The 22,952-nt window shown below is 42.3% G+C and overlaps 1 protein-coding gene and 1 pseudogene across 14 annotated transcripts in view, besides 5 other annotated features; one reads left to right on the top strand and one right to left on the bottom strand.

Annotated features, from left to right (window-relative positions):
• Positions 1-22,952, bottom strand: part of JARID2 (jumonji and AT-rich interaction domain containing 2) — a 275,974-nt gene that overhangs the window by 180,527 nt on the left and 72,495 nt on the right. The window lies entirely within an intron of this gene.
• Positions 4,019-4,538: an enhancer, noted in NCBI's record as "H3K4me1 hESC enhancer chr6:15337209-15337728 (GRCh37/hg19 assembly coordinates)". NCBI's record gives its function as "activates a minimal SCP1, AML or CMV promoter by ChIP-STARR-seq in naive and primed H9 embryonic stem cells {active_cell/tissue: H9 hESC(naive and primed)}" and the evidence as "EXISTENCE:reporter gene assay evidence [ECO:0000049][PMID:30033119]".
• Positions 5,412-5,561: an enhancer, noted in NCBI's record as "active region_24076". NCBI's record gives its function as "activates an Ori minimal core promoter by ATAC-STARR-seq in GM12878 lymphoblastoid cells {active_cell/tissue: GM12878}" and the evidence as "EXISTENCE:reporter gene assay evidence [ECO:0000049][PMID:35858748]".
• Positions 5,682-5,731: an enhancer, noted in NCBI's record as "active region_24075". NCBI's record gives its function as "activates an Ori minimal core promoter by ATAC-STARR-seq in GM12878 lymphoblastoid cells {active_cell/tissue: GM12878}" and the evidence as "EXISTENCE:reporter gene assay evidence [ECO:0000049][PMID:35858748]".
• Positions 14,202-14,251: a silencer, noted in NCBI's record as "silent region_16951". NCBI's record gives its function as "represses an Ori minimal core promoter by ATAC-STARR-seq in GM12878 lymphoblastoid cells {active_cell/tissue: GM12878}" and the evidence as "EXISTENCE:reporter gene assay evidence [ECO:0000049][PMID:35858748]".
• RNU6-645P (RNA, U6 small nuclear 645, pseudogene) lies at positions 17,044-17,149 on the top strand (annotated as a pseudogene).
• Positions 18,048-18,097: an enhancer, noted in NCBI's record as "active region_24074". NCBI's record gives its function as "activates an Ori minimal core promoter by ATAC-STARR-seq in GM12878 lymphoblastoid cells {active_cell/tissue: GM12878}" and the evidence as "EXISTENCE:reporter gene assay evidence [ECO:0000049][PMID:35858748]".

Genomic DNA, 22,952 nt, shown 5'->3' with positions numbered 1-22,952 from the left:
TATAATATGGCAGGGTCATGACGGGTAGGCAAGGTTGCTGGCACATGCCTATCTTACCCTGGAGGCTGGGGCCTGCCCTAGAAACTTTGTCTACTTTCCTGTGTGTTGCAGAGAAGCTGAAAGCCCCTCTGCTTCTAGACCTTACATTTGCTGTTTCCAAGTAAAATCATAAGTATACATAAGAAAACTTTTTAAATATCTTCCACTCAAATGTGGAAGAGTAAAAAAGAACATATGGGAGGGAAAAACATTTATGTAAACAGTAGGTACATGAAGCAAGAAAAAATGGGCTGGGCAGCAGGCATTATTTCTGCATGAATTTTTTATACTTTTCCATCAGCTAGGAAACATCTCAAAACTGCACAGAAGAACCCATCAAAAAATTTTATGTAACAGTGAAAATAACACTTTTTCTAACATCACATGGGCAGGAAGGAGAGCGTGGGTATAAAAGAAAAGACTTCCTTTTGAATACAGTCTCTTTTGTTTCACTTCTTTTTAAAAGAGATAACTGTCCTTGGATATAGAAAGTGTATTAGCACCGCTTCCTGCTTCGAGGTGGTCAGGTCTTTGACCAGGTTTAAATTACTATGCAGAGAAAGACTCATCCCTTCCCAAGACACAGCTTGGAGGCAAACATCGTAATCCCATAGCTGACTTCAGGACTTCAGATAGGTCATAAGGCCAACTGAGTGTTATCTAAAACTATCTTACATTCACACTCACATTTTTCCCACTAAAGAGGAACGAGACACATTTCTGACCAGCAAACGACCAAGTAGGATTGAAATAAAGATCACGGCCTCAGCTTCATAAATCTAACTCTACCATCATGGCTATAAATGGGGCACAATACAGAACACCAGCAGGGCTCCTAAGTCCTAGGAATGAATGAATAAAAGTCTGCCCCAATATATTGTTTCATATATATCACCTCATGGGTTTCTCCAATATCCATCCACTACAAAGACCAGCCAAAGCAAGATGAGAGTAGTCTTTATAAACCTGAAGGTTGGCATATCTAGTCAAGGAATCACAACTACTTTTCATTAGCACCAAACTGGTTGTTCATAACTACTCCCAGGTAGTAAAATCCACACCCAACTAATGACAAAGTATCAAAAGTACAATGATGTCGCACAAGTCACAGATTGAGAATCAGGCTCAGAAATCAGCCCATTATTGTACCTGCTGTATGACCTCACTGGACATCAGCTTCCTTCATTTGTAAAGTAAGAATGAAAGAAGGTGCACACAAATTGGAAAGGCCATGCTCAGCACTTCAAAGGCACCCCAAATTACTTGGCCCTTGTTCTTTAATAACTTTATAGACACAGCCCATTAGAACATGGCATCTGAGGCCGGGTGCAGTGGACAAAAATACAAATGTCAGTCGGGCATGGTGGCATGCACCTGTAATCCCAGCTACTGAGGAGGCTGAGGTGGGAGAATTGCATGAACCCGGGAGTCAGAGGTTGCAGTGAGACAAGATCACACCACTGCACTGCAGCCTGGGCAGCAAGGCAAGACTCCAATTCAAAAAAAAAAAATTAATGCCAAAGATCATAGAGATAAGAAGTGAAATATACTAACAGCAACATTGTCCTCTGAGTTTTTTCTCCCTGGTGAAAGAAATGAAACCTTGTATGGGAGCAGATAAACTTTAGAAGAGAGCTAACTGGGCCAGGCATGGTGGCTCACGCCTGTAATCCCACCACTTTGGGAGGCCGACGAGGGCACATCACCTGAGGTTGGGAGTTCGAGACCAGCCTGACCAACATGGTGAAACCCTGTCTCCACTAAAAATACAAAATTAGCTGGGTGTGGAGGCACATGCCTGTAATCCCAGCTACTCAGGAGGCTGAGGCAGGAGAATCGCTTGAACCCAGGAGGCAGAGGTTGCGGTGAGCCGAGATCGCACCATTGCACTCCGGCCTGGGTAACAAGAGCGAAACTCTCTTAAGGAAAAAAAAAAAAGCAGGGCGGGTGGGGCGGGAGAGATAACTGTTCTTGCCCTATCTTTAGCAGTTAAGAGGTGCACCCTGGGAATACCTGCATCTTCTCTCTTTTTTATAAGAGACTGAGGTAGCCACTTTCCAGAGGTCCTCTAATGTAATTTCTGGTCCCAGGGCCAGTTTTTGCAACTTCCTCCTGATATCAGGGGCTGCCTGAGTAATATATTTATCCTTTAGGATTAGCTGTCCCTTGGCTGAATCAGGAGATAGGGAGGTGTGCTTTACTAAGGCCTCTCTTAGCCTTTCCAGGGAGGCAGTGGGATTTTCTCCAAATCCCTGGTCAATCATGGACAACTTAGTATAATTGAGAGGCCCGGTCCTAGTTCTAGGTAAGCCTTCCATTATGCACACCTGAAAGTGTCTCCGCTTCCCGTCTTCCACCTCGTCACTGGGATCCCATTTAAGGTCATCCATTAGTACTGCTCTTCCAGTTGGATAATGTTTGCCCCCTTCCCTGATGCTGTATGTGACGTAAAGCTCATCCCCAAATCTCTCTGCTGCTTGCAGAGCAGCCTGCTTCTCAGTGTTCGTCAAGGTCTTAATTCAAAAGTAACATAACCTCTCTCCAGGAGAGTTCAAATATTTTAGTGAAATTCTGAAAAGCCTCTATATATCTTATCAGGGTCATCTGAAAACTTGCCAAGATCCTCCTTAATTTGCTTTAAGTCCTGTAGGGAGAAGGGTAACTGGGCCTTACTGGGCCCAAATTCAAAGGGCATCTGCTGGAAGGGAAAGAGTGAGACTGGGCCTTGTTGAGAGCAAGAATTTTTAGGAGGGAGCAAGTGAGAGGCTGAAGCTAGATAGGGAAGTTGGGGTGGACCATAGGGGCAGGGCTAGAGGGAGCTGGTTCCTCTGCTGGGAGTGCCTCTTTACTTTCCTGGGCTTGCCCCTTGCAGCCTTCCCTGAGACAGCAAACAGGAGGGCTGGATCAATCCTATATTGTCGGCAAAGGTCTGGATTGCCTTGCAAGGTATACAAAGCCTGCACATATGGGGCCTCAGCCCATCTGTCCTCAATGTCTACAGATTTGCCAAATGGTATCAAAATAAATGGTTTCTTTCTGAAGCCAAGCCAGTCCTTTCTGTAAATCGTAATTTGGCTAAACCTTTGTGCAGAGGGCTACGACGCATTTTTCCTCCAGATTCTGAGAGTCAATGCAGTCCCAATGGTTTAGGACACACTCCAGAGGAGTATAAGCTGGGAGTGGTGAAGAGAACTGGTTGCCCATTCTGAAAGACAGGGAATAGAGGCGTCCCTCATTCCCTTCCTTCTTTCAGCGAAAACTCAGGCTGTGACAGAGAAAGCGAGTGGCCTCCTTTCACTCTCCACTTCTTATCCCTGGGCCAGCCATAGGTACCACTGCAGTACATACCCATGAAGCAAAGAAAACCTGGAGAATAGGAATTAACTGCCCTCACCTACGCCTCCATTTCTCCCTGCTGTCGGCAAACTGAGTTCCCTGGGCCTGTTTACACCATGAAGCATGGCGTCCTTCCGTGAGGTGGAGGATTTGGTTGGCAGGACTTGGTCCTTCCTATTTACATTGTGCCTGTTGCCTGGCCTCGGAACCCTCAGACCTGGTTTTTCTTTCTAGGGCCTCTGCCTGAAGCTTGGAATCAAGTTTGGGACTGAAAAAGCATTTTAGAGGCTGTTTGTATCTGTGTAGAGTGTCTCAAATGTGCCCTCTCAAATCTGCAGTTCTCAGCCAGCAGGGGCCGTTCCTTCGTTAACTTCCCTATCAGAAACAGAGTTGGGAGGGGGACCCTTCTCACTCAGAAAAGGAAAAAAAGAGAGAAACAGTTTAAGAGGCAAAAAGGGGAAAATTCAGGGGGGTGGGGGGAGAAAGCCCCTTGCTTAGTGCAAGTGGACCCCCCCTAATCCTTATGTCTTTTCCCAGTTCAGACCAGGTTGAATTCCTCGGGCAGGGGTTCCATTGGTGTGGCAGACGAGAAGTGCCCATCCATTGGCCCTGTAGGGTCTCAGCTACCACCATGGCTTTCTACCACCCACCTCCCCCATCGTGGCTGTTGGGCTCAGACCTTGCCTGCTGCAGGCATGCATAGCCACCCAAGCTGGGAGAGGAAAGGATAACAGGAGGTGCCCTGAGCCATGAGTGCCTGTGTCTGTCGAGCTTTAGAGACACATACATGGCACCTCTAGGAACATCTGGTCTGATGTGCATCTTTGGCAGCTGAGCCTAATGCTCATTTTACTTAGTAATATTGCCAATGCCTAGAGGAAAACTCTTAACATTGTAAGGAAAGAGATAAGAGCCATTCAAACCTCTCTCATGTAAGAGAGAGAAGAGACAAGGTCTGGGGGTTTTGATCGGCAGTTAGGGTGGTTTAAAACTGCATGAAGGGAAGCAGAGCCTCTCAGCCGCAGGAAAGAGATGGCAGGGTTTTGGAAGAGAGGCAGGAAGAGAGACAGTTTCGCATTCGTTTACACTCACCCTGCGAGGAGGACAATGGAACCTTTCCCATTACACATTTAAGTGGAGTGATTACAAATAACAAATTGATTTTTATGTGTGACTTACTGAACTACACTCTGAATACTAAAAATAAGTTAACTCTTCTCTGGCGAGAGAACTTGCTAACCAGATCACTAAGTCTCCAATCCTGACTGCGCAACAGAATTACAGTAAGAGAGTGAAAAAATACAGTGGCTCGCACAGGTAATCCCAGCACCTTGGGAGGCCAAGGTGGGAGGATCACTTGAGCCCAGATGGAGACCAGCCTGGGGCAGCATGGTGAGACCTCATCTCTTAAATTTTAAAAACAAATGTAAAAATAACATGAAACGTACAGAACTGTATACTGCCAAATCTATTAAAAAAAAAAAAAAAAGAATCCTGAATTTTACTAGTGAACCAATGCTAAATTAGAACACTGAAGGGGGTATGTTTTTAACAAGCTCCAGACAGTAGTGTTCAACATTGGGGAACATTCTTTCCCCAGACAAAACGGTTTCCCTACAAGACCCTTATTATATGTCATTGTACACAGGCATTTACAAATATTGTCTTAAATGTAGAATTAAAATCTATACTCCAGCTCTAACTAAGTTAGCAAGCATTACTTTTTGAGTTTGACCAAAGTAGTTCATTCCAAAACATGAAAAGCCACAAACATTTAATCTTAGGTTCCTATTTTTAACAACAATATACAGAAATCTTCGCAATAGCGAAATATTACTGAACCACCAGTGTTGTTAAACACAAAAATAAATTAGTTAGGCTTGATATACTTTTCCTTCCCTCCCTCAGATTCCCCACCTGTTTTTCAGTTTCAGGAAAAGGCAGCCACTGATCTCCACAGCACTCACCGGAATTACCTCTCTTCTGGGATGATAAAGGGGCCATGCCTTTATTTATTTATTTATTCATTCATTCATTCATTCATTCATTCATTCACCCTTGGAGACGGGTCTCTGTCACCCAGACTGGAGTGCAGTGGCACAATCTCAGCTCACTGCAACCTCCAATCCTCAGCTCAAGCAATCCTTCCACCTTAGCCTCTTGAGTAGCTGGGACCACGGGTACATACCACCACCTCTGGCTATTTTTTTGTGTGTTGTGTATAGAGATGGGGTTTTGCCCAGACTGGTCTCAAATTCCTGGGTTCAAGCAATCCGTCCCCCAGACTCCCAAAGTGCTGGGATTACAGGGGTAAGCCATCATGCCAAAGGGGCCATGCTCTGGAGGAGGAGATACAGAGCCTGCTCCAGCTGTTGGTCCACAGAAACACTGAGCAGCACATAGGAATGCTTAAGGCTTGAGGGGCACAGACAGAAAATCTGGGAGTCTCCAGCACACTCTTGCAGTGTGGACAGTGGACACTAGGAGAAAAGACACCCCCCAGGGACACCTCAATGTGGACAGGCAGGCAGAGAAAGGGGAACTGCAACAAGACCATGTTCACACAGAAGAGAACAAAGAATGAATGATGGCATCCCAGATGTGAAGGAAGAGCAGAGAACTTCTAAAACAGTCAAACCTGTCAAATGTGAAGTTCTAAACAGCACTATAGGAGGCTGACCTGCCAGAAGCAAGGTGACTCTGACATACCTAACATGGTCAAGTGAAAAATGAGGGGTGTGGGCCAGGAGCAGTGGCTCACACCAGCAATCCCAGCCCTTTGGGTGGCCGAAGTGGGCAGATCGCTTGAGGCCTGGAGTTCAAGACCAGCCTGGCCAACACGGTGAAACCCTGTCTCTACTAAAAATACAAAAATTAGCCGGGCATAGTGGCACATGCCTGTAATCCCAGCTACTTGGGAGGCTGAGGCATGAGAATCGCTTGAAGCCACGAGACGGAGGTTGCAGTGAGCCGAAATCAAGCCACTGTACTCCAGCCTGGGTGAAGGAGCAAGACTGTCTCTGGAAAGAAGAAGGAGGAAAAAAGAAAAAAAAAGAGGGGTGTGGACTGAATATCCCCTGGGGGCCCATTCCAGTTCCACAAACCTAAAATCTATGGACTTTCAATTACCATTTATAAAATCAAGAGAGAAAGTAAGGCTGGTGAGTGTTTAATAATCTGCATCATGAAGAAATTAAATATACCCCACTGGTTTAATACCACTAATTTTTGAAAATTAAACCAATGAAAATAGCAATATTCATGAGTCTAGGTGGTATGATATGCAGTTATATTCCAGTTCTTTAAATGGCAGTAGTAGTTTTGAACAGGAACTAGAATCTCCCCAGGCCCACAGTACCCCAAGTTTTATTGTGACTTTGTGTAGAATTTCAAAAGGCCTTCTGTATCTAGAGTTGTACACTCTCTCAAATATTACAGTATTGAAGAAACAAACAACATGATGGAAGATGCCCTTTGGTAACAACAGCCTGTACCTGACTTGGCCCATCTGTCAGTCAGAAAGCTGGTACCCCAAAGCGCAATGGAAAACAGCAAAAGGAGCAAGCACATGGTAAAAGGAGTATGCAAAAACTGCTGTAAAAATTATGTCAAATCCAGACTAGCTTGAAATGAAGAGGGGGTGATCAGAAAAGTAGTGGCAGGGAATGAATGGAAAACCTTACTCCTTCAAGGTATATAAAAAGCATCCTCACATTAAAATACGTATCAATATAGAAAAAACATTTTTATAGAAACAGAATTATAAGGAAGCATTCTAAGATCTGACTTCTGCCAAAGTAACTCTAGGGCTCATGTTCCTATTGGTGACATAAGCCACTGTTCCATAGGAACCCCTGTGATTACAAGGTCAAATTTTATTCCATTATGCAGCACACTGACAATGCTTCTTTGGAGACATGATCTGTTAATGTATGATTTATTGTAATTAAGCAACACAGTTTAATGTCATCAAGAGGCTTTAATTAGAGAAGGCTGCTGTGTCTTCACGCTGTCAGATCAATTCCTGTTTGCACAACCGTACAGACTTATACATGCTCTGGGAACACCTCTGCATGTACTGAGCAAGCCCTCCTTTGGGGTTATGGACTTCCGCACGCTAAGATGTCATATTTTAAAGGTTTGCCCACTAAATATATTTTGTGTGTTCATCCAAACCAGTCTCGGGGCGGGGGAAGCACCCTTCTATTCTCCAGAACATCCTGATAGGTGGCTCCTTTGAAAAGATTACCTTTAGGTTTCCCTGGCCCCAAGACTCCCTAGTCACTTGTATGTTATGGCACCAACTTTGAATTTCATTCCTGATCATGCATAATGCTATTCTCTTTCACCCACGTATTTACTGAACCAATCTGGCACTCAAATAGCTAGAATATATGATGGTTAGATAAATAAGATGCAGTGTTCATACAATGTAATTTTTTTCAGCAATAATAAGGAATACATTCTGGAAATGGATAGTGGTGATGGTTGCACAACACTGCAAATGTTGTCAGTGCCACCGAATTGTACACACAAAAAATGGTTAAAATGATAAATTTGGTGTTATGTGTATTTAACCACCATTCTAAGAACTGAAAAAGGAGGAGATTAGAAATGAAGTACTGATTCACGGAACATGGAGAAACATAATACTAAGTGAAAGACGCCATACACGTATGGCCACATAGCATATGATTCCATTTATATGAAGTGGCCAAAATAGGAATATCCAGTGACAGAAAGGACATTAGTGGTTGCTAGGGCCTGGGAAGAAATAATAACTGCTGATCAGTACAAGATTTCCTTTTGGATTGATGAAAATAGTCCACAATTACATAGTAGTAATGGCTTGCCTAACTGTGAATATACTAAAAAACACCGAGTTGTATATACTTTAAAAGGGTAAATGTGCCGGGCACGGTGGCTCATGCCTGCAATCCCAGCACTTTGGGAGGCCGAGGCGGGTGGATCACGAGGTCAGGAGATCAAGACCATCCTGGCTAACACAGTGAAACCCCGTCTCTACTAAAAATACAAAAAATTAGCCGGGCCTGGTGGTGGGCGCCTGTAGTCCCAAGCTACTCGGGAGGCTGAGGCAGGAGAATGGCGTGAACCCGGGAGGCGGAGCCTGCAGTTAGCAGAGATGGGGCCACTGCACTCCAGCCTGGGCGACTCCGTCTCCAAAAAAAAAAAAAAAAAAAAAAAGAAAAGAAAAGAAAAGAAAGGGTAAATTTTATGGTGTGAGGATTACATTTCTATAAAGCTGTTATTCTTTTAAAAATAACAGAAGAATACGGGAAGAACCTTAAGAAACAAGGAGTAGACAGACAACGAATGTATGTATTGAAAACTATTTTGGATTATTTCTTAGGACAAACACACACACAAAAAAATTGTTCTCTTTCCAGCTCTGCAGGATCTAGACAAGTGAACTGTTCAGGTCTTGCAACAACTTAGAAGGCCTATCAGACTGGCAGGAGCTCAAGGGGGACAGCTGGACTTACACAAGTAGCGCCCACCACAGCTGCAAGCCAATTTCTTTTTCTAAACACTGTGGTCTCTTCTCCTGGAGCTGCTGTACAGGCTTTTGTCACTATAATAAATATTCCTTCAGAAATACAGGGAAGTTAGGAGTAATTTGGAACAGAGCTATTAAATATTGCTCCTTCTACATAATAAAGCTGTTTTGATACAATGCTGCTTTCAAATACCTGCCAGGTTAATGAAATGAAAATTAAGATTTGGTGTTAACACTGGGAGTCTTGGATGGTAACAGTATTACATGATATATTCTAATTCATTACTAAAAGAATTGTCTGGCATGTTTGAGCCCCAGTTAATATTCAGATATATCTAAAAATTAAATTCCTGAGGTAGCTTGCTAATTTGGTTTTTCTCACAGAACCATTTGACATGCCCTGTAAATATTAATAAATTATCAATAGTTGTTTCTGCATAAAATTCTAATTCTTTGTCGGAATTTTTTCCTAGCACATTCTAATCCCCCCACCCTTCCTTCCTCACTCTGACATATGGCGAAGAGCAACTGGTTTCGAGCTTGGCACTGCGACTATTTTCAAGCAGACTTTCTGAGGGCATCAGTTCCTGCATCAAGCATGCAGTTCTAATGGACTGGCTTAGCAGGTGTGCTCACAAATATCAAACAGAACAATACAGTCCGGAAGGAGGGACATTAAGTCTAGGATTTTTTTTTTAACTTATGAATTAGAATTTTCTATTTAATATTTTCAGACACCTGTTTATTTTAAGAAACCACAGAAAGCGAAACTGCAGAAAGGGGGTCCCACCGTACTTTTTATGAAATGGAGTTTCACTCTTGTTGCCCAGGCTGGAGTGCAATGGCACAATCTCGGCTCACTGCAACCTCCACCTCCTGGGTTCAAGCGATTCTCCTGCCAACATACCCGGCTAATTTTTGTAGAGTCGGGGTTTCTCCATGTTGGTCAGACTGATCTCGAACTCCCGACCTCAGGTGATCAGCCTGCCTCAGCCTCCCAAAGTGCTGGGATTACAGACGTGAGCCACTGCACCCGGCCCCCCACCGTACTATTAATGGAAGTCACAGCTTACATTAGGATTCACTTACTCTTTGTGTTCTACATTCTACAGGTTTTGACAAATGCAAAATGTTGTGAATTCCCCATTCAGTCTGGGGTATTTCTTAAAGTGTTGCTCAAAAAGACAGTTTCCAGTATTATACTTCTAAGGGCACTCTTTCTGTTTTCCTTCACCACTCCTGGCCTACAGGTTTTTTGTTTTTTTTGTTTTTGTTTTTGTTTTTTTTGAGGCAGGATCTCTCTCTCTGCCACCCAGGCTGGAGTGCAGTGGTGCAATCATGACTCATTATAGCCTTGACCTCCTAGGCTCAAGCAATCCACCTACCTCAGACACCCAACTAGTTGGGGTTAGAGGTGTGTGCCACCATGCCCAGCTAATTTTTGTATTTTTTTGTAGAGACAGGATTTTGCCATATCACCCAGGCTAGTCTCCTGGGCTCAAGTGATCGAACTGCCTCAGCCTCCCAAAGTGCTAGGATTGCAGGTGTGAGCTATCACATCCAGCCTTTTTGCTTTATTAAATGAGTAGTTAATTCCTGAAATACCGCTCCTTTCACAAGACAATGAAGTCTAGTGAGATGTCCTTGTACTTAAGGACTATCTTAGGGAACAATTACTTAATTACAACACATAACACTCTTTCCCAAAACCTGAAAGAAGTCACCTTTTAAAAACAGACTACTTTGAAGTATTCTGTCTCCCCAAGACAGGAAAGTGAAGAATGGAAGGAGGACTTAAAATATATATTTTTTGAGAAAGCTTTTGATGTGACTTTCCCAGTATTAAACAATACCTCTTAGCAATGATTGCATCTTTTGGCTGATTCACCAATAATAATGACCACGCAGAGAAGTTTCTGGCTACACTATTTCCATTACTCATTCTGTGAAGTGTTCAAAATGTTAAATGTTTTGACTGTTTTCCTAATTTACACTCTATGCTTTTAATATATTAGAACTGATTTTTGAAATACATTGTCCCTTTAATAAACACCAGGCACTAATCTAAGATTGCCAACCTAAGTCATATTTCTACTGGAAGAAAAAATACACTGAAACAATTAACATTATTGGAAGAAAAAATGAAAAAAGAAGAGGGCAAAACCCACACACCATACTTCCTCCGGTAATGTGGTCGTGACCACTGTGTTGTATCAAACTCTGGCCACACAAGTGGATCAACTTAACCATTCCAATGCTGGCGCAGGATGTGGATTCGGTGGTATTAATGAGTGCGCAGGCTTATAATGTAACCTCACCAGACCAAATAACCTCCTGGCCACACAAGTAGAAAATAATTAAAACAAGCACGATTCCAATTTAGCTTTGTATACCAGATGGTGAATGAAAAAGCAGACAAAGACTCGTTTTGTGAATAACCTGGGGAACAGCCCCTATAGTTTCTTTTAAAGTTACAGCCTGACTTGTGAAATCAAAGAGGAAAGGAAAGAATACAAACGTTCTCACCAGAATTCACTCCTAGAGCACATATATATCCTTTTCCTTAGGTCATGACCAGAGAACATCACAACTCATTCCTTAAATGAATGTCAAGTTTAATCACAGTAAAAACCCAGAAACCCAGTGAAAATTAAGTGGGGGCAAGAATCTGCTGAACATCTATTTCAATGTTGAGCTCTGAGCTGTATGTAAAGAAATATATGAGATATGTTTTTTAAATCATCAGGACTACAAAACAACAAAAGTCACTGCCCAGATTCTACAAAGATCACTCCCAAAAAATAGACAATATTTGCAACCTAACAGAGACTCAGGCCTTCTTTTTCCTCCCCTCAAGAATAAGGGCATGTCATGGATGGGCAAAGGAAGAAAACATTTTAAAACCCAAAGATTCCTAACTTTGCACAAGAACTCTGTCAGCAGTCTAGAAATGGGAAGATAAAATCCGAATGGCTGGCTGACCTTCACAGACTAGACAGAGCGCATGCGGTTTAACCCGCTTATTAAAGATAAAAGCTGCATTCATGAAAGGGAGACATTAACTAATCTGTGCATCCTCCAGTGGGGATAAGGACAGCAAAAGAGGCCATCATACAGTCCAGTACTCCTTGAGATTTACAGTGAGCTTGCCCTGAGTCAAACAGCAAAATTGTGAGCTAGTTTATTTCAGCACAATAATCTTCAAACTTTTCTGTTAGATCCCAGCAGGATGTCAACTCTCCCTATAAACCCTACCCCTGCTTGCTGCTAGCAGCAGCTGACTTCCCCAGGCCCATCCCTCCCCAACTCACTCATTGCAGGATTAATCACAACCACAAAGCAGAAGAATCCCAGGCCAGAGTCCCAAGGGATAGTAAGATGATGACTAAGGAGGGAATTACAGGCTTGGGGTGATACCAAAATAATCCCCCAAAAAAAAAAAACCATATTAAAGAGACATTTGTTTCTGCCTCATTCAATTTAAGCATCAACAAAGATTATTTCTTTGGGTTCCTAAATCCTGTTTCTGACCTACTTTGTTTCCTTGACACAATGGGTTTACAATAGGTGTACAGATGCTCATGTGGCCCCAAGGGAAAAAGAAGAACTAGAAAAAAAAAGCCCATTATTAAGATACTACATTTGAAGATCTCTCTGGCTTTTACTGCTGGTCACTGTTCACAGGCTTCTTGAACAAGGCAGGTGCCTCCATGCCCATCCCCACACAGGTGGGGCCTCAGCAGCTAGACATCTAAGGAAGGGTCCTTTGCACTCTACATACTTGACAGGTACCCTTCCTGCAGCAATAATAGCCCATGCCATATTAACATGTGCTGCACAGGTGTAAATGAAGTCATCGTGAATTTGAAACAGAGGAAGGTGTTTCTTGACCATCTGAATCTCTTACTTTGAGGCCACAGACACACATTTTGACTGTATGGATGTTCTGAAGTCTGGAGTAAACGAGGCTGTGGTCCTGGCTTTAACACTTACTATATTACACTGGGCAACCTAGATAAACAATTGTATACATCAAATTCTGCTTCTGGAACAACAGGATTAAGCAGTCAATAAAATTTAGCAATGTTCTAAGCACCATACATCTAATCACTTAACGCTCCCAATGACACTAAATGATAATAAGTTTTTCTATTACCTTCGATTTTCAGCATTTCAAGTAACTACAGGTATAAGGCAGCACAGTAACTTGCAACCTGCAACAGCAACCTGCAGACACTGGTGTTATTAGGAATTGCAAGTAATACATGTAAAGCATATCATCCTGCCCAGTGCCTGGTACACAGCGGGTGCCCAGTAAATAGCAGCTTTACTATGTTTTGGAGAATTTGGAGATCCTGTTCACAAGCTCTATCGCTACCTGAATTCCATACAGGTGACTTTGTGGGGGGTGATCTTTGCTTCTTCGGACCTCAGAAGAGGTCCTGGAAAGCCCTTCCAGGAGTGTTGCAAGCCACTGACCCTTAAAATTCACCTCCTGGTTCCCTTCATGAACTCTCACACAGAGGAGAGTCTTCCATTGCACCAATATTTATTGAACAGCTACATGTCCTGGGCCTGTAATAAATATTCACTGGCAATCCACTAAGATGAATCAAAGGTGGCTAGGCTGGGGATGGTAGGGGTTCTCTGAAAACAAACAAGATACTGTATAATGTGTGTGGAGACAAATACAAACGAGGTGCACAACACAGCTACTCCAACACGGAAAATGCATCTAAGTGGGGGATGAAAAACGCTTCACAAAAGACATAACATTGAGCCTTGAAGGACAAGAATGTGAAAGTAAAGACAGCAGAGACCGCGTTGCAGTCCAGGTCACAACCAAGCCCATTCATCTGCTTCTTGAATTTATTCTTTTTATAAAGACTGTCCTAGAACCAAATTTCTATAGTTCTGCTGTTTTACCCCAGAGATTGCTACGTGCCCTTCTTTCCAAGGCTTCCTGTGTCCTTTATGACCTCCCTCCCTCATTCTTAGTCCTCTCTACTCCTCCCCACCACCCACTGGCAGCATGCGGGGATGCACGCACATGCACACGCACACACACGCGCACACACACACACACACACACACTCTTCCAGAATGGAAGGGATGGCAGCTGAATGCAGTATCACTCACATTTATACCTGCCCTAGATGCCATCATCAGATCTCCCCCTCGTGGCCTCACCAAGTATGCTGAATGTTACACATACTGCAGAGTTATGCCCTGAGACTGATAAGGGACTATAATATGAAAATGTGCAGGGGTGGGGTGGAGGCGAGTCAAAAGGCACCTATGCAGCCAGCTATGATAGCACCACTGCACTCCAACCTGGGTGACAGGGCAAGACCGTCTCTTAAAAAAGAAAACAAAAAAGGAACCTAGAAGTTACCATTTTTATTTGTCTATTTAAAAAACAAATTTTTAAAAAAGAAACAGCACCAACCCCAAAAAAGAAAAGGAGGAAGGAGGCTAACAGAGTAAGAGAAAGGGGAGAAAAAAGATCCCAAAGCAAAACCCATCAGCCGTGTTTCAGGTCGGGCCCAAATGTTGCTGCCAGATTAAATGACCCACCTTCACTCTCAAAAGCTGTGGCACTTGGAACAAGTGACCTCATTTCCTCAAGAACAACAAATTAAAGGGACAGAGAGATTAAAAACAAACATGTTTTATCAACCCAACCAGTATCAATGTATAGACCTTATTTGAAAACATGAGACTGACAGTAGGGGAAATCTGAACACTTGACTCATTATGTTATCATTATCATGGGTATGTTTTCTCTAAATAGAATTCACAGCTTTTAAAAATTAATGCTGTGCTGGACGTGGTGGCTGACGCCTATTATCCCAGAACTTTCGGAGGCCAAGGTGGACTGATCACTTTAGGCCAGGAGTTTGAGACCAGTAAGGCCAACATGGTGAAACCATGTCTCTACTAAAAATACAAAATTATCCATGTGCAGTGGCACATACCTGTAGTCCCAGCTACCTGGGAGGCTGAGGCATGAGAACTGTCTGAGTCTGGGAGGTGGAGGTCGCAGTGAGCGAAGATCGAGCCACTGCACTCCAGCCTGGGTTACAGAGCCAGAATCTGTCTCCAAAGAAAATAAAAACATTAATACTGACAGGCCAGGCGTGGTGGCTCACTCCTGTAACCTCAGCACTTTGGAAGGCTAAGGCATGGGGCCAGGACTTCAAGGACAGCCTGAGCAACATAGTGAGACCCCATCTACCAAAAATAAAAATTAGCTGGGTATGGTGGTGCACACATGCGGTCCTAGCTAGTGAGAAGGCTGAGGCGAGAGTATTGCATAAGCCCAGGTGTTTGAGGTCACAGTGAGCTATGATGGCACCACCACTGAACTCCACCCTGTCTCCACCTTCCACCCCCCAAAAAAATGTCTGAGATTTGCTTCACTTAGAGTAAAGGTGTAAATGAAACAAAATTCACCATGGGTTGATACTTCTGCAATTAGGAGAGGCTGCATAGAAGTGTACTGCATATTTTCAGGACTCAAAAAAGCTACTGTTTACCTGGGTTTCATATACACATTGATATTTACCATACTAGAAATTAAAACAAATTTCATATTAATTCATTTAGAAAATTATACAATCATTACATGTTAACAGAAATAAAATTTTTATGAAAATTGTATTTTACACATTGAAAAAACTGTGAGAAAAGTGGCACTGCTTTCCACTTCTGCAAAAGTCTTTAATATCTGGCTTAACGGGAGTCAACACAGTTCTCATAACTCAATTCAATCTGATGCAATATCACATATCATGTAGTATCTGGAAAGCCCCACTGCACATTTGTGAGAAAATGAAGACAATAATGTCTCAGTTTTTACCATGGTACTACTTTTCGCCTTGGAAACTCCCAGGAAGGGACTATGATCTAGGGATCCCTAGATGACAGTTTGAGAACCGCTGTGATGGAGCAAAGTCTATGGCGGTAAATAAGAATTTCCTTGACTTAGCAAGATTTCTACGATCCTCTTTACTCTGGTGAAATCAAAGTCCCAAGTTGACAAAAAGAACATCATGTCACCCCTGAACACCCTCCTGCACACCACACCATCATGAAGAAAGGGTCTCTGTAGTATGGACTGGTCAAAGTACCCTTAGACATTCCCACAGCTAAATTCAGGACAAGCTGTGAATGTTCAAGATGTACTTCTAGACCGCTGATCCCTAATAGGAAATCAATATGCTGGGTCTCTTGACAAGCAATTTTCTTTTAAATTAAATAGGGGGAAAAAAAGGATAGATTACAATATAACACGGAGAGTGAGGCTAAGCTGAAATTGTTTCAGTTGTGTGTGTGCACACACACAGGTAGCCACAAATACTGGGTCTCAATTCGAAAGTTCTTATTGCAAATAAAAGTCAAAATTAACAACAACACAATTCCCTCAGGTACAAGGTACAGATTATAAAAGTCTTTATAAAGAAAGAAAATGGGAAGAAAAACCATGTTTGAAGAGGAAGTAAAGGTGGTGACTAAATTAAGTTAAAAAAATCAAGTTTTGAAATTGTGGTATGGTCCTCATTAAAGAAAAAAAAAGAAATTATAAACACATACGAATACACAGAAAAACTCTAAAAGCATCTCCTCCAGCAAGGGATTTAGGCAGGCTTGAGTGCAACTTATTACTTTATTCCTTTCAGGGCTGTTGAAATTCTTTGACAAAGGGCAGGGAATGCTTTCAGAGTTTAAAACAACAACAACAAAAGACATTCTTTTCTTTTTTTTTTTTTTAATAACAAAACCACCTCTGACCCGTACTTTGCTCCAAACAAATATTAACTCAAAAAGCAGTTGGCGGGAGCGGTGGCTCACACTTGCAATCCCAGCACTGTGAGAGGCCGAGGCAGGAGGATCACACTTGAACTCAGGAGTTTGCAAAGTGCCTGGAAAATAAAGCAAGGCTACAAAACTACCAAAAAAAAAAAAAAACACAAAAATCAGCCAGGCGTGGTGGTGCACGCCTGTAGTACCAGCTACTTGGGAGGCCAAGACAGGAGAACTGCTTGAACCCAGAAGGCGGAGGCGGAGATTGCAGTGAACCTCCAGCCTGGTTCAAAGACTGTCTTTTAAAAAAAAGAAAAAGAAGAAGAAAAAGGAGGGGGGTCATAGTGCTCACCTTGGCAGCTCATATATTAAAACTGGAACATTACACAGAAGATAACACGGCCCCCGTATAAAGATGACATGCAAATTCGTGAAGCTTTTCTTTTTAAAGTGATCACAAGCAAAATGTGGGGGAAAAAATTATAAAACTCCAAGAGGAAACACAAGAGATAATCCTTCCAATCTTAGGTTATACAAAGATTTCCTAGGACACAAAAAGGATGAATGATAATACCTTGGGCTTCATACAAATCAAAAAGGATTTTCTTTTTTTTTTTTCCAGTTTTTTTTTTTCTTTTGAGACAGAGTCTAGCTCTGTCCCCCAGGCTGGAGTGCAGTGGCCCAATCTTGGCTCACTGCAAGCTCTGCCTCCCCGGTTCATGCCATTCTCCTGCCTCAGCCTGAGTAGCTGGGACTACAGGCGCCCGCCACCACGCCCGGCTAATTTTTTGTATTTTTAGTAGAGACAGGGTTTCACCATGTTAGCCAGGATGGTCTCGATCTGCTGACCTTGTGATCCGCCCGCCTCAGCCTCCCAAAATGCTGGGATTACAGGCATGAGCCACCACGCCCAGCCTTTTTTATTTTTTGACAGAATCTTGCTCTGTCACCCAGGCTGGAGTACAGTGGCGCGATCAGCTCACTGCATCTTCTGCCTCCAGGGCTCAAGTGATTCTCACGTGGCCTCCAGAGTAGCTGGGATTACAGGCGCACACCACCACACCCGGCTAATTTTTGTATTTTGAGTAAAGAGAGAATCTCACCATGTTGCGATCTGCCTGCTTCGGCCTCCCAAAGTGCAGGGATTACAGGTGTGAGCCACCACACCCAACAAAAGGAATTTTCTTTGGAAGGCAATGTTAAGAAATGTTACAGGTTGCCTTGTGTCCCCTAAAAAGTCTTATGCTTAAGTCCAAACCCCTAGTACCTCAGTATGTGACTGAATTTGAAGATCTGAAGTAAAAGGACAGCAGTAGGGTGGTCTCTGAGCAATAAAGTTCAAGACAAAAGACGACAAGTTTGCTGTCAAGGGAAAAGCACCAAAGAGAGAAGGCCAAGCCACATATCTATGAAGACGCTAGGCCAAGAGGGCAGGATTTCCCGGTGCTGTAGCACACCCAGGCTGGGCTAGGGTGAGTCACACACACACACCTGGCTCATTCCTGTGATTGTAAGAAAGAAAAGGAAAGAACAAGACACAGCTAATCCTACACAGTTCAGATATGCTTAATGGATAGAGAAGGCAATCAGGGAGAAATGCATTTGGGAAACCAGGCTGTGCCTGCCTGCCTGGCAAGCAAAAGCCCACCACCCACACAGAGCTAAGAGGTTTCGTACCACAGAGTGCAAAAGAAAAACAGCCAGAATGAATGTGTCAGGAAACCTACAACCAGAATGTTGTGAGGAAAAGTAACCTACAGTCCTGGTGTTTGCTACCTTAGCATTTGCTAGAATGAGCCTGCTGCTACGACCAAATTGCATACAGTCCAATCTCAAATGAACCAGATAATTCAGAACAGCTTGGAATTTTTCTCTCTGGTTTAAGAGTATGCTGTTATGTTTATATTATGGTTATGCCTAATATTCTGGAATTTGGAAATCAAGGGGAAAGTTTTATTTTGTTTGAAGACATAATTTGGAAGTGGTTTAGGAAATCAACTATCCCCTCTTCTCTATGCTGAAATCTCCCCTACTGCTACCCCCAGGGTTCACCAACTTCTCATACAAAACATCACCCCCAAAATGAGCTGCTGGCTCCCTAATTTGCTGTTTGGCTAAATGACTTAAAGAGAGAAGTTTTGGGTCAGCCAGTGGCTTAGTGCAAATATTCCCTGGCTCCTGGCTAAAAATATGGCCCAGGTATTTGGGTTTAGTCAAATCCCTGAAATCTAAGCATTTCTCATGTCATTAAAACTCATTAAATCCTTGCAGGGTAGGTAGATGCTACCAGTATCTCCCACTTTGAAGGAAAGGAATCAGAGAAGAATGTTACTTAAAAGCACACACCTAGCCAGTGTATCCAGTGCTTCCTGTACACAGACAAAACACACTGGGTGATAAAACATTTCACAGGAACTTGCAAATCAATAATTGGTCCAGAGAGTGATAATAGTGAATATGGCTTGCGTAGCTAGGACTACAGGAGTGTGTCACCATGCCTGGCAAGTGCCCTCTAACCAAGTCTCAGAATCAGAAGCACAGAAGCCTGTGCACCTTTTCCTCACTCTTACTGCTCCTTGAAAACTAAGCTTCAACAAATGACCCTATGATTCTACATGCCTGTTTGGATATTTGAAATTACAATTATGTGTTTTTCATGCTACCAAACAGGAGCTATGCAGATTTCCCATTCTCCCATTAACCACTAGACACTAAATCTAATACTTCTTCCAGGCCGGGCGCGGTAGCTCATGCCTGTAATTACAGCACTTTGGGAGGCAGGCGAACAACGAAGTCAGGAGTTTGAGGCCAGCCTGGCCAACATGGTGAAACCCCGTCTCTAGTAAAAATACAAAAAATTAGCTGGGCGTAGTGCTGGGCAGTGTAATCCCAGCTACTTGGGAGGCTAAGGCAGGAGAATTGCTTGAACCCGGAAGGCGAAGTTTGCAGTGAGCCGAGATCACACCGCTGCACTCCAACCTGGGCGACAAAGTGAGACTCCATCTCAAAAAAAAAAAAAAAAAAAAAAAAAAACAAGAATTCTTCCAATTATAAAATTAGATTGCTATTCTAACTCACACTCTATTATTGAAGTCTCATATCTTCAAAGAAAGCATTTCTGTTGTTTGTTCTTGTTAACTTACTTAGCCACTGACCCAAAGAAGAGTCAAGCAATTGGCTTGTAAATACGAGGAGAAGCTGAAGGAAATCATGTTTTCTAATGACAAGTTACGAAGTAGATAAACCCCCTGACAGTCAGTCTTTGGTTCTGAATAGAGATCTTGATTTCACTGCCACCCACATTTAAGAAACAGAGCAGAAGTAATAAAAAGCTACAAACCATGTTTCAAGGCCCAATCAAAAAGGTTTACAAAATTGTTAAATATTTCCTGCTCAAACATAATTTGAATTGCAGGTTCCCATTAATGAAATATGTGCCGTAATTAATACTACATGTGAGTTCATTAGTTCATAGTTAGCCTTAGTTACAGAGTGGACAACTCACAACTATTAATAATTTCATGATTTTTCTTTGTGATGTAAAAAAATGACATTCCCTTCATTCCCTTTATCCCCACAAGAAGGTGTATGATTATACTGATTATACTGATATATAGTATATATATCATGGCACAGGGCCAGGTGTTTTGTAATTGATAACACTGAGTAATCAGACTGTTGAATTCTTGCACAGATCTAGTTATTTTCTTCCAAAAATTCTTTTAAGTTCCTGGCATTTTCAATCTGCTCACAACATACTAACTACTGCAAAATACTACTTGTAATAATGAAATCATTCATATGATACACCGCCTCCCATCCCCAAATTTGAATTCTAACATTTCATAAAACTCCCAAACAAGATGAGAAAATGTACCAGCATCACAAAATTACTACAAACTGCAAGTCATACTTCACATGCAAGTTTAACTAACACACACACACACACACACACACACACACAGAGAGAGAGAGAGAATGAATCATATTCTTGCATGGCCATGGCTGAAAATAATATAGATTGGTCTCTAATTTACATATATTGCATATGAAAATGAATTAGAGGCCATATGCTTAACTCCACAAATGAAATACAGTAATTATTTCCTATATTATCCTTTCTGAATAACATCTAATCTAGCTACTAAAGAAGGATCCCTGATTAGATAAGAAGGAAACATTTGGGTCATTAGCTATACAGTTTCATCTTCTTTAAGAACTGCATTGTAATGAATACCAGATGAATTTAAACTACAGTAGGTTTCAAAATAAACTACAAATCACATTTATGTATGGTTTTTGATAATTAACAGTCATCATTTCACCTTCTACTTCAACCCACTTAAATCCCCCAAAGCTACCAATCCACTCTAATTTGTGTAAAGAACAATGACTGAGTTTCTTAAATATATTTTTCTATTCTCACACTTACATTCTACGAACTACCTAATTAAATGTAAAGTCTTCCTCTTTTCAACTGGTTATGATGGAAAAGAAACAGAGTTAACCTAACTTGAATTACCGGCTTATAACCAACACCTTACCTGTGTCTTAACTGAATACTAAGTCACTGGAATTGTAGAGGACATTAACACTGTAATACATTTTCCATTCTCTTCACAAGCATCCACAACCACAGTCTCTTCTAGTCAGTTTTTGTTGGATACTGATCCACATAGATCAGAAGCTGATCGGCTCACCATGGTAAATATTTGAAACATACTAATAAAACAATGGAAGAAACCAGCAAGATAAAAGTAATCAGGTTCTACTAATATAGCCTTGTCTACTTAAAATTACTTGTATTTACATAGATACACTCCCTAACAAGCGTATGGCTGAAATATCTCAGTGCTTAGCTCCAGTTCGAATAAGGAAAGAGTCAAGGGGCTGAACTTCTCTGAAATCAAAAGGTAAATGATGCAGTGAAGCAAGAAGCCTTGATGACTGCATCAAATTTGCATAATTTGTTTAAGAAGTACCCACCACTATTTTAATTTACATAATCTGCAACCATTGATTAGGTAGTTTTTCATCATATAAAGTTAAAGGGCCATCCTCAGGTTAAACTTTTCCTGCTTCTCCCTCAAACACAGATCTCACTTCTAATTGTGTTCCAGAAACTATGGACAGACCGGATGCAGTGGCTCACCTGCCATGAAGCAGGTGGATCACTTGAGGACAGGAGTTCAAGACCAGCCTGGCAAACATGGTGAAACCCCGTCTCTACTAAAAACACATACACAAAAAAATTGGCAGGGCACAGTTGCGCACACTTGTGCTCCCAGCTACTCAGGAGACTGGGGCACAAGAATCGCTTGAACACGGGAGGCAGAGGTTGCAATGAGCTGAGATCACACCACTGGACTCCATCCTGGGCAACTGGCTTGAGGGAAACTCTGTCTCCAAAAAAAAGAAAAAAGCAACACAGAAATTCCATGTCACTCAGACACAAAATGGCTACTGCAGAACCACAGAGAGGAAAAAGTTACAAAAGATATGCTGTCAGAGCAACTCTTTTAAAATTATTGTTCAAGGCAGCACAGCTTCTCATTGGTCCACCAACTTCAAACCTTGCCATGTTTCAAGACAGAATGAAAGATCTGTGCTCATCTAATGAATCTTTGATAACTTATAGCATTCCAAGCATGTTATATACATATGAGAGACAGACAGACAGCATCCTCTCTCCCTGCAAGAAAGTGAATAAGCCATAAAAGCTAGCCACCCTACTTACTTTCTATGTAAATACAAAAGGCCCAATTTTATTTTTCATCTGCTACCCTAGAAAACTGATTGGACTGAATGTCTAGGCTGCTTCCTTATGTCCTTTTAATAAAGCCAGCCACAGTAAAGAAAACAGAAATTAGCGGGAAGTGCAGAGCTCTTTGCCACTGGGATTCACAGCAGCCTTTGGACAAGCCATTATGGCTGTCTGGCTCCAGCCCTCTTCCCAATAACCACCACCCCCTTTCTCGCCTACCCCACACCACCCTCCAAGATCAAAAGCAGCACTTACTGTTTATAACATCCTGAGCAATCCGGGAATCTCAAGAGGCTTTTGTTGCCTTTCCCACCCCTCATTGTTTCTGATCCAAAAAATGTTTTTTAATGAGACAAGCCAGTCCTGAAACAGTCACACCAGTGAATCCGGCCTGCCTCAAATGACAATCCTCTGAGATGCCTTGTAAGGAAAGGGGAGGGGGGTGCCTCCAGTGAATGTCAGAACAAGAGCATGTGGTTCCCAGCCTGC

Source organism: Homo sapiens, chromosome 6, assembly GCF_000001405.40.
Source record: "Homo sapiens chromosome 6, GRCh38.p14 Primary Assembly".
In the NCBI taxonomy this organism is placed as follows: Eukaryota; Metazoa; Chordata; class Mammalia; order Primates; family Hominidae; genus Homo; species Homo sapiens.
Note: the sequence above shows the minus strand (reverse complement) of the source record. Positions and strands in the feature narration are given on the sequence as shown.